At 36.3% G+C, this 17,746-nt stretch overlaps 1 long non-coding RNA gene across 1 annotated transcript in view; it reads left to right on the top strand.

Moving 5' to 3' along the window:
• Window positions 1-14,707, top strand: part of LOC105371257 (uncharacterized) — a 52,702-nt gene extending 37,995 nt beyond the window's left edge. The window contains exon 4 of the long non-coding RNA XR_001752182.1: window positions 14,042-14,707. This is a non-coding gene — a long non-coding RNA (uncharacterized LOC105371257). The remainder of the gene's footprint in view (window positions 1-14,041) is intronic.
• Window positions 14,708-17,746: the final 3,039 nt, after the last annotated feature.

Raw genomic sequence — 17,746 nt, 5'->3', positions numbered from 1 at the left:
GTTTTCCCATATTTGGAGCTACATTAATTCTGTCAATGGAGCAGGAAAGAAATCTGCAATCAAAAAAGATAAAGACTCTAAGATAGTATTTCTTGAATTTGGTTGCAATGTAGAATCTACCAGGAACTTTAAAAAATCCTGATGCTTAGAAATACCAGATTATCTCAAAGTCTGGAAGTGAGGACTGGACAGTGGTATTTTTTAGAAGTCCCCAGATAAGTCTAGCGGGCCACCATGACTGAGAACCAGTGGTCAGTGGGTTTTTGATGGGAGCTTCCCCAACTTACTGCCCTATGTGTGCGCAGGTATGATGTACAGCTCTGATAAAAGCTGGCCTCCCTCAAATTGGCCCAAGATAGAGGTAACAATCTCAATGGTTTATGGTGACAGTTAGTGCTCTGTGACCTGGTGACCATAGAAACTGTGGCCCAAGTAGAAGAATGTAAAGAAAGCATGAGGTCCCAGAGGAGAGGAATCATGGGGGAATATCTACAAAATTAAGACTTATAAATCACTAGGATTTAGACAGAGGAGATAAGTAATTTAGATGTCACAAAGCATCTATTGTAAAATGTTTGCCTCTCCCCAAAATGAAAAAAACAAAAAACATCAGAGAATAAAAGTAAAAGTAACTGCAGTGGCATTTTTTGTTTTGTTTTGTTTTGTTTTAGATGGAGTCTTGCTCTGTCACCAGGCTGGAGAGGAATGGCACAATATCTGCTCACTGCAACCACTGCCTCCCAGGTTCAAGCAATTCTCCTGCCTCAGCCTCCCGAGTAGCTGGGACTACAGGCACATGCTGCCATGCCCGGCTAATTTTTTTTTTTTTTTTTTTTTGTATTTTTGTAGAGTCAGAGTTTCATCATGTTGCCCAGCCTGGTTTCGAACTCTTTAGCTCAGGCAATCCACCCGCCTCAGCCTCCCAAAGTGCTAGGATTACAGGCGTGAGCCGCCGCACCCGGCCTGCAATGGCATTTATTAATATCTCTCTGTCACTCTGACTGTGTGCCTAAAATTTTACAGGGATTCACTTTCTGCCTAGAATTCTACATTTATGAAAAAGAAAGGAGAATGTGGGAGAAAAAAAATTATTCTATGCTGTCCACACCCTATTGGTTGAGTGCTTCAATGAGAGACCAAATCAAAGTAAATTTAAAAAAAAATTATTTAATGAATAAATAAATTCTTCTCAAAATAATGGATCTTCTTTCTTTTGCTGAGCCATAATAATAAGGAAAGACAGGTGTTTAATTTTAAACACAGCTGTTGTTATAAAATTAGCAGAAAGGGTGACTTGGTCCTATTTAATTTGCAAACTACAATTTGGAAAATCATTTGGGATTTTCATTTCACCTCAAGACTCTCCAAGCTACAGAGATAGGGTGAGCTCTCTAAATGGTGGAATTTGAGAAACGATTTAGGGATGGGATTGGAATTGCTCATACTTTCATGCCCCCACATAATGGCCACTTCAGTCATATAATTGGAATCGTGTGTCTGTCTCCTTATCTTCTTTTAAATCTCCAATCCTTTTGCCTTCCTTCTAGAATATCTTCAACTCTCTGTTCTCCTCTGTGCAAAACACAAAGGAAAAATGTGTTCCTAAAATTGGCATTTGGTTCAAGATCTTAAAAACAAAATGAATGCCTAAAAGAAAATTAAAGGCTTCAGAAGCAATGTGTTTTCATTCTCTACTCACTCCTGTGCTGCCAGTTGGACCTGGAATTTCTAAAGTACCCCATAGTGCTTGGTTTTTCAAGAGTCCTAGCATCTCTAGGGATGATGCTACATATTTCCTTAGGCAAAGACTGTTGAATTTTGAATGACCTAGGAGGCCACAGGGACCAGTGTCTCACACTCAATGATCTGAAGGATTGCTTGCCCTGGAAAATCCCATTCCCTGTCCGCTCCAGAAATTCAGATAGAGATTAATTTCTCTAATATGGCATTGCATTGTCTTTTGGACATATACTCTAAGGAAAATTCCTTCTGCCTCTCCTTAATTCAGAAAGAAGGGAAAAAATTAAAATCCACAGTATCTTCTTTTAGCATTAAGTAATCTTAAAATCTTTTTTTAATTTAAAAGGTAGTAATAAATCTACATCCCCAAACTGAATTATTTGTACAAGCCCTGGAATTCTAAACCTCTGCGGGCCTGGAATTTGGGGCAATTACACCTAAGGGCCAGACCTGCAGTAATGCCCCAAATTACTTTCTGGAGGGGGTGGCCAGGGGGTTTCCATTATTTTAAAGTTAAGACTTCAAACCAAATGTTTCTCCCTTTATTGATCTTCTTTCATCTCCCTTCATTGCATTTCCTGTTTGGCTTTTACCTCTTCTTCTCTTTTTTTCCACCCTGGTGGTGAACACCCTCAAATTGGTGATTGAAGACCTTGAAGGTGCTGTTTACAAAGGCTGTTAATGCCCCTGTCCTCATTTCCTGTGTTCCTGCCAACAAGCCTGACACAAAGCCCTCCTCAGTAGACACACTAAAATATCGGAGAGACCCCACTGAGTTTCTCAGTTTGCAGATAGCTTACGGTTGAGGACCAAAGGCGCCTGTTCTTTCCTCTGGCATGGAAGGCTCCCTTTTGTAGCTATTAGAAGAGATATTTTAGAATCACCGAATTTTTAAGCTGGAAGGGATTTCACAGATCTATGGGATCCAGAAGAATCTACTCTTCCTGGTAAGACTTGAAGATGGAGCTCAAGGGATTAGAGAACCCCTGGCATCATATGCAAATTATGCATGGATGTGTACACATGCACTTCCTTCCAGGGAGAGATACTGTGGCCTGAACAGCTTAAGAATCACTGATAGTCCCATGCCCTCTTCTCTTTAACAGATAAACCATTAGGAATCAGCTGAAATGCTTTCTCCCAGTTTCATATGATCTCTTTTTCCTGCCATGCTTATCATTAATTGCCTATTTTGGGGTCTTAAATTGAACTATGTGGCAAAATTACCCCCATCTTAGGGTGCATTCATCTCTAAAATAATGATGTTTTATTTGAATGGAGCTTTTCAACTCCTGAGAAAGGAAGAATAGGATGAGGGCCAGACAAATGGGCTCTAGAACCAGCCAGATCTGAGTTCAAACCCAACTCAGTCACTCCTGAATAAAGAAAACTTTGGTAGATTTCTTGACATTTTAAGGCCTGCATTTCTTCACCGATATAAAAAACAGAATAATAGTACCTGAGAAAAGAACTTTTATCTAAGGAATGTGAGTCCTTTTAAATAATCAGGCCCAGAGAGACATTAAAATGAGACAGCAGTCATGTCCTGCTTCCCCCTTGAGCTGTGTATTCATCTCTTGAAACTGCACAGGAAGCTATAAAGTAACCTAATAATATGGTACTGGATGCTGTACCCACACCCTATAGCCTCACAATGTATAGCCAATCACTAATCAATGTTATTTCTGTAAACCAATGAGAATTCCTGACAATTTTTTATAAACCCACTCACAGTCCCCCTTTTTTGCCTTTAAAAATCCACTTGTAACTGCTCCTAATATAATCAGAGTGTATATTCAGGGCAACTTGAATCTAAGCTCCCAGGTTGCAATCCTCAAGCTTGACCCAAATCAAATGTCTACGTATATTGATTTTGCTTCAACTTCTTCCTTTTAGGTCGACATACCTATCTCATTAGACTATCATAAAAATTAAATGAGATCATATGTTTCACTGCCTAACATGATATTCAATAAATGTTAATCCCTTTCTGGATGACTACTGTTATGTCAAAGTGAAATAAATCAATAATATATACTCATGCAAAGCATTTTCATGGATGCACCCAGAATCTGAAAGAATTCCAAAAAAAAATTTTAGGAAAACACATCTAATTATGCATCTAAGCACCTCAATTGTTCAAGTTTTACCAGTTATAGTAGGTCATTCCAAGGGAGGCATAGCAAAATTGGCCCTGGGTTAGGCATGATTCCTGCTGTGGCTGTCTTCATGCCCTGTTCAAAGCAGATGATAAAGCCAGTTTGTGAACATGATGTTACAATAGAAAGAAGTTTGATTCTGCTCTAATTGATAATTTTTGAAGGTAAACCATTCGTCAGCTTTGGTATATTATTACTAGAAATAAACTTCTTAGTAGCATGTCATAGAGAAAGCCACTATTATTGTCATCATCATCATCGTCATCATTTTAACTGACTGTTAATGCTCCGTTTGAGAATCACTGTAGATTATCTTTGACATCCTTTTTTCTTTCAGTTTATGTCTTCCTAAAGACACTTATGTTTGTATTAAATAATACAAAATAATTATATTGAATTTTAAGAATAAGGAAAATAATAAAGTGTATATTTGTATATTCATCAACCTATTAAGAAATAGATTAGCAATGTGTTTGGTACTCCCATATTCTAAATGGTGTGTGATCATTCTCTTGTTGTCCCTTGTGTCTCTAATCTGTTCAGTCTTGTATGTTTTTGAGCAAAAGTATTTTTATATTAGGTAATCAGCTATGACTTTATTCCCACAGCATTATATCTTGAACATCATCAATGTTAATGTTTAGCTATCCACAAAAAATGATTAAAGCCATAAAAATATAATTTGTCTCCAGAGTTTTCTATAGATTGGTTGTAGTTTCACTCAAAATCCCAATGGAAGTTGAAAGTCAACTTACTTTCCAAATATATATGGAAAAGTAAAAGGCCTAGATTTAATCCTATGTATTTTACTTTAAACTGCTGTTGTAAATAATATTTTTGTTGCATTTTCTAACTGTTGATGGTGTTTATAAAAGCTACCGACCTCTATATTTTGGCTATTTTGAAACTGGCAACCTTGCTAAACTCTTTCACTTTCATAATTTTTGGTAGATAATTTTAGCTTTCTTATATAGACAAACTACATCATCTACATAGCATGGCATTTTTATTTGCTTAATAATCCTTCCATATATGTTTTTTCCTGTCTTACTTCGCTTTCTAGACTCTGCCATGGGATGTTGGCTAGAAATTGTACTAGGAGCTGGCCTTACCTTCTTTGTGATCTTAAATAGAAGTCATTTGTCACTTCAACATTCAATAAAATGCTTGTCTTAATTTTTTTTAAAATACATCCTTTGTCATATTAAGAAGTTCCTCTTTTTTCCTGAGCACTTTTTAACTAAATGGACAGTAACACATATTGAACACTTATTTCCTGCATCTAATAAGATGATCATGTAGTTTCTCTCCTTTAATTTATTAACATGGTGAATAATTCCTTGATTTCCAGATGTTAATTCAAGCTTGAATTCCAGGGATAAATCCGACTTGTCTTGATGAATTATCTATTTTATGCATAACTAGATTCTGTTTGGTAATATTTTGTTTAGTATATTTGTTTTTCATTAGTGAGATAGGCCTGTGTTTTTCTCTATCATATTTTCTTTGACTGGTTTTGGAATCACAACTTACTAGTCTCATAAAATATGCTGGAGAGGGTTTTTTTCTTTTATTCTTCTCTGGAAATTTTTGTGTTTGTTTGGAATTGTTCTTTAAAAGTGAGTAGAACTCACCAGAAGCCTGTTCGGAACTGGAGTCTTTTTAAGGAACAATGTCTAACTATGGATTCAATTTATTTAGTGATTATGACTGTTCTAATTTTCCATTTCTTGGAGTGAAAGTGATAGGAACAACATGTTTAGCCATTTGAAATTGTTTTTCTGACTTTTCCTCATTCTTATTAACACCTATTATTAACTTTCCTTTGATTATGGTTGTGACATAGTATCTCATTGTAACTTTGATTTGTATTTCCCTGACGGCTAGAGATGTTAAGAACATTTCCATGGGCTTATCAGCAATTAGTACAACTTTTGGAAAAATGTATATTCATATGTTTTGTCCACTTATCTGTTGGGTTATTTGTCTTTCATTTTTGAGTTGCAAGCTTTCTTTATACTCTAGATAGAAGTTCCTTATAAGATATAAGACACACGATTTGCAAAGTATATATTCCATTCTGTGGGTTGTCTTTTCACTTCCTTTTTAAATTGTATATATTTATGAGTTACAATTAAGTGTTAATGCATGTTAACTATTATTGTTGATCAGTTGTTGATTATGTGATTCACATGACAGTATGATGTAAGCTTTTAAAAACTGTTAATACTAGCAAAAAGAAAAACAATGCATGGCCAGTTTTCAAAAATTTTTAGTGAGTGTCATTTAGTGTACTGTTTTAAATTTGAGGATTCATTCATCTATTTAGGTCCCTTAGATCAAGCTTATTGAATATGCTGTCCAAATATTCTACAATTAAAAAAAATATTTTGGCTGCTTCATTTATCACTTATTAAGAGGATGTTAAAATTCTTCACAATGATGCTGGATTTTATTAATTTCTCCTGAGAGTCTAGCTTTTTTATTTATGTATTTTGAAGCTAGGTAATAAGCACTTATAATTTTAGAAATTTTGTGTAAGATTCTTACTAATTTGACTCTATTATTCATATGGCAGTTATTATCTTTATCTCTGGTCAGTTTTTTTCCTTAAATTCTAATTTGTCTGAAAGAAAGATAGCCTCATAACTTTCTTTTTGACTTGCTTTTGTTGGGAATATCTTTTTTTATCCTTTCACTTTCAAACTTTATTTGTTCTTATATTACAGATATGTCTCATAAAAACAGCATCCATCTGCATTTTGCTTATATTGTTTTAATCTGGTTTGTCAAGCTTTTTAAGTAGGGAATAAATTTAGTACATTTACATTTATTGTGATTACTGATACACTTGTATTTATTTTTACCATCTTGTACATGCTTTTTGTGTGTTCCATTTTTTCCTGTTTTCTCCTCTGTGTCTTCCATATTTTTGTTTCCCCCATTAATTCCATTATTTCATTCATTGCTTTGTAAATTATCCATGCTTCCTCTTTTTTAAAACTGTAGTGGCAACTCTAAGGTTTTTGCATGCATGGTTACAAAACCTACAGTTAACTAATATCTGTATTTTTCTCCTAAAATTTTAGAATGCTACAAATCCAGTCAACACCTTCCAACTGTAATTTTTCTAGTATCTTGTATCTATATATTTTAATTTCTCAAAATAGCATTATCATTTTTAATATGGCTAATGCTTACCTAAATTTAAATTTAAATACAAATTCCTTTTACCTCATAGCAAAACATATTTTTTCTTAATTGATAATCTTTTAGTGTTAAACTCAATTTCCATTTAACTGAGTACGTCTTTATTTTGCCTTCATTCTAGATAGCTGGACATTGCATGCAATTTTAAATTGACTGGTTTTTTATTTTTGTTTTTGTTTTTTGCGTACTGAAGATTTTATCTCATTGTCTTCTATGTCACTCTTGAGAAGTCAGTTGTCAGTTCAATTGTTTTTCCTTATGGATAATTTGTTCTCTGCTTGAATTTAAGATCATTTACAGTTTTAGTTTTTGTTATAAGGTGACTGCATATAGTTTGGGGTGGATCCTTGTGTTTCGTAAAATCTGGAGTCTTGTATCTTTCATAAATTTTGGAAAAGTCTCAGCCTTTAAATATTGCCTCTCCCTCAGTTTCTCATTTTGTTTTTTGGGGGAAACTGGTGAATCATATGTTGGACCTTTTCTTTCTTTCCTCGTAACCTCTTCTTTTATTTCCTATTTCCTTGTCACCCCGTACTGTATTCTGCATTATTCCTTCTGATTGAGAATCCAGTTCACAATATCTTTGGCTATTTAGAATTTACAGTTAAAAACATCCATTAAGTTTTTAACTTCAAGAATTATATTTACTTTTTCAGTCTTAGAAGTTCTATTTGGTACTTTTTCAAATCTACTGTATCTTTTGTATCACCTCTTACATCTAATTCATATTTTAATCTCCTTTTATATTTTCTAATTATAATAAACATATTTTGTTTACATTTTGCATTTTGTTATTTCATTACCAAAGGCTTCGGTGTTGTGATTATGGCTTTTATTTCTATAAGATCTCCTTCCATTTGTTGCTTGTGATTTTTAGCTGTGAGCATATACTTGGAATTCTGTTTCTGCAGAGAATATTTGATTTTCTTCTGCTAGTTGTCTGGGAGCTCCATAAACCTGCCACCACTTTAAAATAATTTTTCAGCTTGAGGAATTTTCGAACAACAATGAGAGCAGTTTCATGATTAAAAATTATTTCTATCCAGTTTCAAGGTGGAGACAGTGGAGTCCAGTTCCCGTGATGCTTCCTGGTGTGACATGTGTGTATGTGGAATGCTTCTCTTTCATCCTTACAGGAAGAATGAGGTACAATGGTATCTGTTCGTCTTCCATGTCTTGTGCCCTCTGTAGCCATTTAGAAATCAAAAGCCAATTTGAATACTACCTTCCTTCTCTAGATTTGTCTTTTCCTTCTCTAGATTTGTCTTTTCCTTTTGTTTTATTCTCCCTGAGGATTCTTTACTTAAACAAAAATGCAGAGCTCAGTAATGCTTTAGAAAATAGAAGAAGTTTTTTCCCATTTTTTTAGCAGTCTTTTTTTTAATTGTGTGAACATCTGTGTGGGGTGTGTGTGTGTGTGTGTGTGTGTGCAGTGGGTAATCTACTCTGTCATATTTATAGAACCAGAAAGCCAGAAAGACTATTGTTCTCTATGTTCCTTTATCTTTTTTGAAAGTATGCCTTCCACTGCAATGTTTGACATCGTTTTCTTATACCTCATAGAAACATGCTCATGTATTCTCATTTGTCCAATGAGTTAGGAGAAAAATTAAATGCTCATGCATTCTCAACACTATTCATTTTTTAAACAATTTTAGTTTATTAAGCTGTTTTTGCATTCTAAGTCCATGGGAAGACCAAAAAAAGTACTGATTAGAAACAAAACTGAAATGCCCTATTATGGCATCAAAGAAACAAAAGAGGAGATGATACAGGGTAATATAAACTGCATACCAATATCATGAGCCCTCACACCAGGTTTCTGTTTAGGATGGATAATTTGCTTCAATGAAACAAATTAATGGAGAATTATAAACAATAGCTTTACAATGAACTTTTAGCCATTAGTAATTTAGAGTTTGGGACAATATTTATGTGCCCTTCTTGGAGACATTATACAATACTGGCCCAGATCATGGACTCTGGAATCAGATGGGCCTGGGTGTGAATCCTTTATTCTGTGGTTTGACCTCTGTAAGCCTCAGTTTCCCATTCTGAAAAAGGCAGAGATTAGCACCTACTTCATAGGGCTATTTTGACAATAGGCAAACTGTATTTGGCAATAATTGACAAGTACTTACCACAGTTTATGACACATTGTGAAAACTAAAAAAAAAAAAAAAAAAAAAAAATCGTAAGTTCTATCGTTGTGATTCAGTACTTTTGTCCAGAATGAAGTGATACAGCCAGTCAGCACCTTCCAATATGAGCCAGCCATTCAGAAGCCAGGATCAATTTCCCCTAAACCCACACAAGTGGATAAGGGTGCCCCAAAGGATGCTGGGAAATCCCCCAAACACTCCTGGAATAAAAGTGTTTTCAATTCATAATACGAAACAGCCATATTATGTAACATTGTGCTTGGAAGGAAGAAAATAATTGAAGGGAATTTCAAAAACAAACATCTAGATCACATCCCAATTTCCAAATATTAGGAACCACTCCTACACAGACAGGAACAAGTTGATGTCCCAGTATTTAAGAGAGCCTATGTTAAGCAAAGAAAAGGGGCAGATTTCTAATGTTGAATGACAAGGCTAGTTTGAAGAGCATAGCAAAATGTATGTTAAGAAATAGAGAGGCCTAAAGTGTGTTTAATTGTTGAGATGCTAAATGCATGGTAATATGTGTGTGCCAATAGTGCAACTTGATCCAAACTACATTTGGACTGAGCCTGTAATAAATTGTCAGAGTTGGCCTGTGCATTCACTTAAGCTAATACTGAGTGTCTCCTTTCTACAAAGTAAATCACAGTGGCTTTGTTACTTTATTTTCCATCTTGTGTATAAGTAAACTGCAGGATCAATTGGGAGGTAGAATCAATCTGCTATTTATTACCTTGAAATGTGACACCCTATTTTAAGTGCCCTATTCCCTTATGGCTTCACTTGAGAACAGTATTATGTCCAAACAATATAGAAACCAGCTTTACAGCTCCTGGGTTTTTTTTTTTACTTCAGCCCGGATGGATTTACATTGTATACAACTTTCAGAACCTAAATAACTTACTTAGTGGATTTTGAAACAAGCATGTAAAGGAGGAAGAGTCCTTTGCTTTTTTTTAACTTTTTTATCTTAAATCTTAGCAGAATGCATTCATGACCAAAGCATTTTTTTAACTTTTTTTTTTTAAAAAAAGCAGTACTCCCATTGACCCACTGATCGTAGCTTAACGTTCCAAAGAAAATAAATAAAAATCTCGTGTCTAGGGAAAAGAATTAGGCTTCATGGGGATTCTGTCATCTTGTCATTATACTTTGCAAAGAAACCTTGGTCTCTAATTTATGGGTTTCAGAAAGAATGCCTCCTCACACTGCTAGAAGGTTGAAAGGGCAAGAGATATGATGTATATCAGGAAGGTTAAACCTAATCTCTGTGACCTGCCACCCGCCTTTCCTGATTAAAACATGAGGGACTGGGGCCCAGCAAAGACCCCCCTCTCTAAAGCACTATCCATATCTTAGTCCCTGATCTGAGTCCTCCGTATTGGCTTATTTCAAAACACTCATTATTTGGCTTGCTGGCGACTACACCAAACGTCTCTACTAAGTGTGATAAAACATTTTTAAATGCCCCAAACTGAGTTAGATGAAATTGAAGGGAAACTGGCAGTAATGAAAGGCTGGTGACAAGCTTGATCCCCATAAATTTGGATTTTATTAGGGCTTAAACTTAAGGTTAACCAGGAAGCAAAGGAAATAAAGAGCCTAAAACTTTAAAGGTGGTCTGAGAAAGATAGTGGCAGCATCTCATTATCTCCCTAGCTAAAATGACAGTGGAAAGGTCTTCTTTTTTTTCTTTCCTTCTTTCTTTTCTTTCTTTCTCTCTTTTTCTTTCTTTTCTTTTCTTTCTTTCTTTCCTTTCTTTTCTTCAGATCCTTCCTTCTGTTTTCTTTCTCTTTCTTTTTTCTTTCTCTTCTTCTTTCTTTCTTTTCTTTCTTTCTTCTTTCTTTCCTTCTTTTCTTTCTTCCTTCCTCCCTCCCTCCTTTCCTCCCTCCCTCCTTTCTTTCTTACTCTTTTTCTTTTTCTTTCCTTTCTTTCCTCTTTCTTTCTTTCCTCTTTGCCTTTCTTTCCTCTTTCCTCCCTTTCTTCCTTCTTTCCTTATCTCCTTTTCTTTCTGTTTATAAATGTGTACAATTCATATGTGTACTTTCTTAAACCTTTCAAGCTCAGTTGTGTCTGATATGGTCTCCCTCCAGGGCTTCTTAGAAAATAAACTTCAAAAGAAAAGATGATTTCTTCCTTTGTAAAAGTAAATTAATTAATATTAATTACACTGATGGTTCAGGATACAACTAATCTCAACTTCCCTTTATCCCTCATTAAGCCTGAACTGTATATTCTAAGCTTTTGGTATCAACTCCTGTGAATCAAAGCCTGTAGGACAAAGCATAAATAAAAATATCATTAATATATATGCTGTGATGAAAATTTAAGGCTGAGCACAATTGTGTGTGGGTATGAAAAAGTTCCTCCTCTACTCTTCGTTCCTTCAGGCCCTCAAAAACTTGTCTACAACAGTTAATATGTTCCAGGATTTATAGGAAAATTTATTATCTTAAAGATAAAATAAAATTTTACATTGTATACAGCCTAGGACAGACTTTGAGAATAAATGTAATTCTCTTAAATTATAAGCAACCATAACTTCTGGGTAGGTTCTTGTATCATCGCCATGTAACCTTCAGTCAACCTGAAAATCACAAGGGATTTTAGATTCTAAGCAATAAAGTTAGAGAGAGACTTATATCCAGAGGGACTAAATTCATAGGTTTACTTAACGACAAATGGAGAGTGGGGGTTGGGAGATGGACAGAAAAATAGACAGGAAAACTATTCATTTCTTATCACAGTCAACCAGTGTTAATTAAAACTTCATTGCAAATGTATATCAGCAAGGAAATTTCTGCTAACTCAGGAGGCAAGTGCCTATATAATCATAAAGATATCTTGGTTATTTATCTGCTGTTTGGATCTTATCCTTTACCTCAGCAAGCAAGTCCTACTTCACCCCCCTTCCCTGCCCTCATTTTATTACAGACCCTCTGTATATTCTACCATAAAGAGGGGGGAAACATATGGGCTGTTGTTTGAACTTCTGTAATGAATCCTTCCAATATACTATTTCCTTCAAAAGTTATTTTTAATTTTATTGCAGTCTGTTTGTGTATTCCCCCAACAATCACTCGGACAATATTCGTATTGGGAAAAAATGGCTTTGGAGGGCTCTTGCTCTGTGAATACTTCTGATTTATATGGAATGCCTAGAGTGAAGGGTGCTGTTGTGTGGCTGGGCCTCCCTGCCATGCTGGTGGCTTCCTTCAACAGAAGAGAGAGTCCGGTGGCTTCCTTCCCAGGGCCCTGGACTCCTCCCTGTTGTTGTTTTGATTTGTTTTCTTCTCAAAAAAAATTTGCCACTAATGATTCTCACTCTCTGTCTGCCCAAATCCCCTTAACTCTTGTCCAGTAAACACACCAGAGATCTCAAGCTGATGGCCCACATGCCAGGTTTGGCCCACAGTTGGGTTTTGGTGGGCATGCACAGTTGGAAAACATTCTTTAAAGAATCGGTTAATGTTTAAAAATTGGAAATTTTCATATACAAATCTAGGTTTATAGAATAGTTGATGGATTTTTCCCTGAAAACAGAAACAACTGTGTGAAGATATTTTTCTTGGAAACTTAGGAGAACTGGCAAACTGTGTCCACCTTCCCATATGGCGGCCAAGTCCATTCTCCCCATCGGAAGGGATTCTAATGCAGGTCTGTTGTTCAGCCTGGTTGATTGCCATCACTGAGGCACGTGCCTGGCCCCCTCCTAGTTTCTGAATTTGACACCCTGAAATAACCAGTTTTACAGACATGTTATCAGAAAGCTTGTTTTTGAATTGGCAGGAGGCTGAGCAATGGGTGTCTGAGTTTCAGTTTGTTTCATGCTTCCTTAGAAGGCACTGAAGACTTCTGACTCTCCTAGAAAAATGTTTCAGCTCATAATAATTAGTAATAACTTACTCATCTTTGCCCTCCCCAACCCCAGCTATGGTGTCCACTTTTATACCTTACATCTATTTTATGATTTGTTGAATGGATGAATGAGTAAATGAGACTCTTGTCTGAGGCTGACAAAGTTTACCCCTCATGGGTGCATGGAAATATATTACTTGAGGCTCCATTTTAGAATTGCATTCCACATCTTGGTCTAATGATGGTGATCAGAACTCCTTTCCCTCTAGGACCCACTTCCCTGAAACCCCAGTGACAACCATAGAGATGGACCATAGGAGGCATGACATTCATATATGTTAAATAGATTCATTAATTCATGTAATTTCAAGAATAGTAGCTTTTATGCTTGAGCACTTATGCACCGGGCAGTGACTTAAGTACTTTGTATAAATTAACTCAAAACTTTATTCACATTTTACAGGTGAGAAAACCAAGACTACTATTGCAGGTAGTAAAATTTGGAGCTGCTGTATGAACCCAGGCAATCTGACTAAATAGTTCACAATTTTTGTTGCTTTGTTTTGTGTTTGATTGTTAACTGAAGTGTCCTCTTCTTGGACTCAATAGTATACTGGCTATTCATGTTCCTAGGAGAGGCTATGCTTCCGAAAGTTTCATTTCACTTTCTGAAGCCAATTTAATATTATGAGTAGGAAATCTATATCTACACAATGTGCTTCAAATTTTAATTTCAAGAGGATTTTTGAGAGTTAGTGGACAGTATGGGCGGGGATCACAGGAACCCAGAGCATCTGGCCCTTACAGAGTTGCTGTCTTTTGGTATAAGTGAGCTTCACTTGGTAACAAATAGACCCAGTCATAAGAAATGGCTGAAATTTAATGGAAGTGTATTTTTTTCTCAAATAGAGTTATGCGAGAATTCCTGGTGGAGGTGGGCAACTCTCTTCCCTGCAGATATTCAAGGATTCAGGCAGATAGAATCTCGTTCATCATCAACATGTTGCCTGCAAGGATCTTATGGTTTCTCCATCTCATCCAGCCAGAAGCAAATAAAAGCACAGGCAAGCCCACAGAGGAGGATTTTATGGGCCAAACCTGGGAGTGACTCATCACATCCCTCCCCATAATCCATTGACTAGAATGTAATTATTTGGCCATACCTAACTTCAAGAGCAGCTGGGAAATGTGAGCTTGCTGCGTGCCCAGGAAGAATAAGGAAAAAGGACTTTGGTGGGCAACTATCAGTTTCTCACTTCTCTTGGTGCTAAAGAGCTTTGTAGTAGGAAGATTTGCCCAGACTATTTGTTGCACAGCCAATCCTCAGACCATCTTGAAGCATGTAGAAAAGGACTAAGGATTGGAAATTGAGTTAAAAGGTATTATTGGGAGACATTTTTAGCATCAGCAGCATCTGCTGGAAAGTTTATACTCTGAACTCTAGAGAACAGTTTTGTTTAGAGGATATTAGCAAATTTGTAAAGAGAATATGTAAAGAAAGCTGAGAATAATATTTTCAAACTCTTTCCTTATATCCCAAGTTAACAGACAGCACTAGGGTCAATACTAACATGATCAAGGGGTTAGTTTCTGTTTCCTTTTTTTTTTTTTTTTTTTTTTTTTTGGGACGGAGTCTCACTCTTTCACCCAGGCCGGAGTGCAGTGGCCCTATCTCGGTTCACTGGAAGCTCTGCCTCCCAGGTTCACGCCATTCTCCTGCCTCAGCCTCCCGAGTAGCTGGGACTACAGGCACCTGCCACCACGCCCGGCTAATTTTTTGTATTTTTGGTAGAGACGGGGTTTCACTGTGTTAGCCAGGATGGTCTCGATCTCCTGACCTCGTGATCTGCCTGCCTCGGCCTCCCAAAGTGCTGGGATTACAGGCGTGAGCCACTGTGCCCGGCCTTCTGTTTCCTTTTTAGGAGGTGGAGATTGCAGAATAAAATTTAACAAATTTGGCTTTTGAAATTAATAGTGTTTTCTTTGGGAAATTTTTAATTTTTGTTTATTTGCTTTGTTTTCTTTTTCATGGAAGCCTTAATGGTGAAGCAAGGAATGAAAGAGGAAAAATCATAGCAACTTGGTGAACTTGAAAATGTACCTAGGTCACACCCCTTCTTTACTTCAAGCAGAAACTAAACCCAAATGGAAAATATTTTGACTGAGCTGCAGCTTGGCATTTTTATGCCACTATTTACCTCTAGAAGAAGCATGGAAAACTTCTCTAGCTTTTACAGTACACTTTCTAAATACCATTTCCCACTGGAGAAATGGCTGATTCTGGGTCAGGAGAAAATGTACTAGGCAAATGAGAATATCTTGTCATTCCAGATAACAAAAAAGACGTAAAAGACTGCAATGCCAAAAGGACTCAGGAGCCAAAAGAACTGAGAATATGCCCATGGGTCAAAAATGGAACAAGTGCACCATTAAATTGAAAACAAGTGCAATAGATTAAAATACATCACATGTTCAAATCTTTGAGTTCAAAATGATACAAAAGCAACATACAAACAAACATATAAACAGCAATAACAACAACAGCCTCAATGTTCATCTTTGGACATTGATAGGAAGCAAATTATTTGGAAAATAGTAAAAAAAAAAATTAGAGTATCTGTCCTGTATTTCATCTATAAAATATTCATTGAGGTAACCAAATAGTTAATAGTAAAGGAAAATTTGTCTATTTGTCTTCATGGAAGTATTTTAATTTCTAGAATAAATGAAGAAGGAATGATAAAATTAGAACATTACCATTTGGTGGTCCCTAATGAGACAATGGGTCCAGGCAAAAAATCTTCAATGGCTGTTGAGATCACAAAAAGAAAGACCCCAGATTTTAAGTGCCAGCTATTAGAAAAATACGATTTTTCCTGAGAAGTAAGTTTGACAAAAAAAAAAATTTATATTGAATTCGAATCAAGCCTCTAGAAATAACAACCAATCTACTAGAATTACAGAGATCAGAGAAACGTGTTCAAAGACACCGTGGGCATATAAACTACAAAATCCAAATTGTAGAAAACATCATAGGACAGACAATATGATTTCTTCCACAAATACACTGCATGATAAAAAAAGAGAGGAGTTTTAAGAGACTTAAAGAGCAATCAAATGCAATATTTGGATGTTTCATGGATCCTCATTTGAACAAATGGTTATTTATTTTTATGCTGTGTTTATGAGATAATTGGGGAAATGTGACCACTGACTGGATATTGGATGATATTAAAAATTATTGTTAACTTTGAATGCAATAATGGGATGTATGTGTGTGTTTAATGAGTCCTTATATTTTACAGTTACATGCTGAATTATTTATGGATGGAATTACATGTGCTTGGGATTTGCTTCAAAATAATTGGGGAGTAGAAAAGAATAAGAGTACTATATAGATAAAAGATTGGGCATGAATTTAAAATGAAAGAAAAATAAAAGAAAGGAAAAGAAATAACAGAGAGGTTAAGAGGGTAGGCTCAGAGCCAAACTGCCTGGGATCAAATCTTCTTTCTGTCATGACTAGCTGTGTGATCCCAGAACAAGGAGTACAGAAAATTATCTAAGCTTGTGGTGACTTGGTTTCCTGATCTGTAAAATGGGCTCAATGGAGCAACCACCTCATTAGGTTGTGCAGACGAAGTGAGCTAATAGATGGAAAGTGATTGGTGTATTTCTGACATGGAACAGTTAGCTCTCAATAAGCACTTGCTATTATTGTAATTTTTATTCAATGGGCCTTTTAATTGCCCTGAAGCTGATTGTGCCACTGGGTGCATATCTGTGGTATCAGTGCAGGCATCTGTGATCTGACTTGGATGGAGACCCCTTGGGCCAAGTATGTACCGAAATCTCCTTCCTAGCCCAAGATGGCACAAAGAGTCTAGGCCTTATTTCCAAGATAGTCTGCCTTCTGGCTTCACAATATTTCAGCTTGTCAATGCAATCTACTTCCAGAAAAACAACTTTTCTTACCCATTCCTGTCTTTGTGGTTTTGCTTTGATTAGCTTCTTTGGCCTAAAAGCCCCTTTCTTCCTTCTTTCCAAACCTTGTTCTTCCAGGATGCCTGCTCACATTCTTCCTGTTCAAGAAGCCCTTTCCTGAATTGAGATAGGATACTCTGTCCTCCTTCCCCTCTGAATGACAAGACATTTACCATGCATACCACACACGCTAGATTTTGAGTGTCTAGATATTCAGTGGTCTGCTGTGGCTCCAGCACTGGCTCTTTCATATTGGCCAGCAAGGGTGTGTCTATTGTGCAATCTCTTTCCAACTCCCAAGTTCACTGATGCTACTTTGGTAGCTTGAAATGGGCCATGTTGGGAGTATTTACACCACAACAAATATAACAAAACAGGGATTTTTTTCCCCTGTGAACCCATTGTTACAAGCTTACCAACACACCACTAATTTTATCTACCCATAGCTATGAATCCATCTACCCATTTCTACATCTGTCCTGTGCCTAGCATTGAGTATGGCACATACTAGGTCTTCAACAATTGAATGAATGATTGTGGAGTGCTATCATATATTTTTAATCTTTTCCCTCAAGTTTAAAACACCTTGAAAGCAGGAAATCTGTTACATTCTCCACAATGCCTAACCAC

This window comes from Homo sapiens, chromosome 16 (assembly GCF_000001405.40).
Source record: "Homo sapiens chromosome 16, GRCh38.p14 Primary Assembly".
NCBI classification, from domain to species: domain Eukaryota; kingdom Metazoa; phylum Chordata; class Mammalia; order Primates; family Hominidae; genus Homo; species Homo sapiens.
This window is presented reverse-complemented; position numbering and strand designations above follow the sequence as displayed.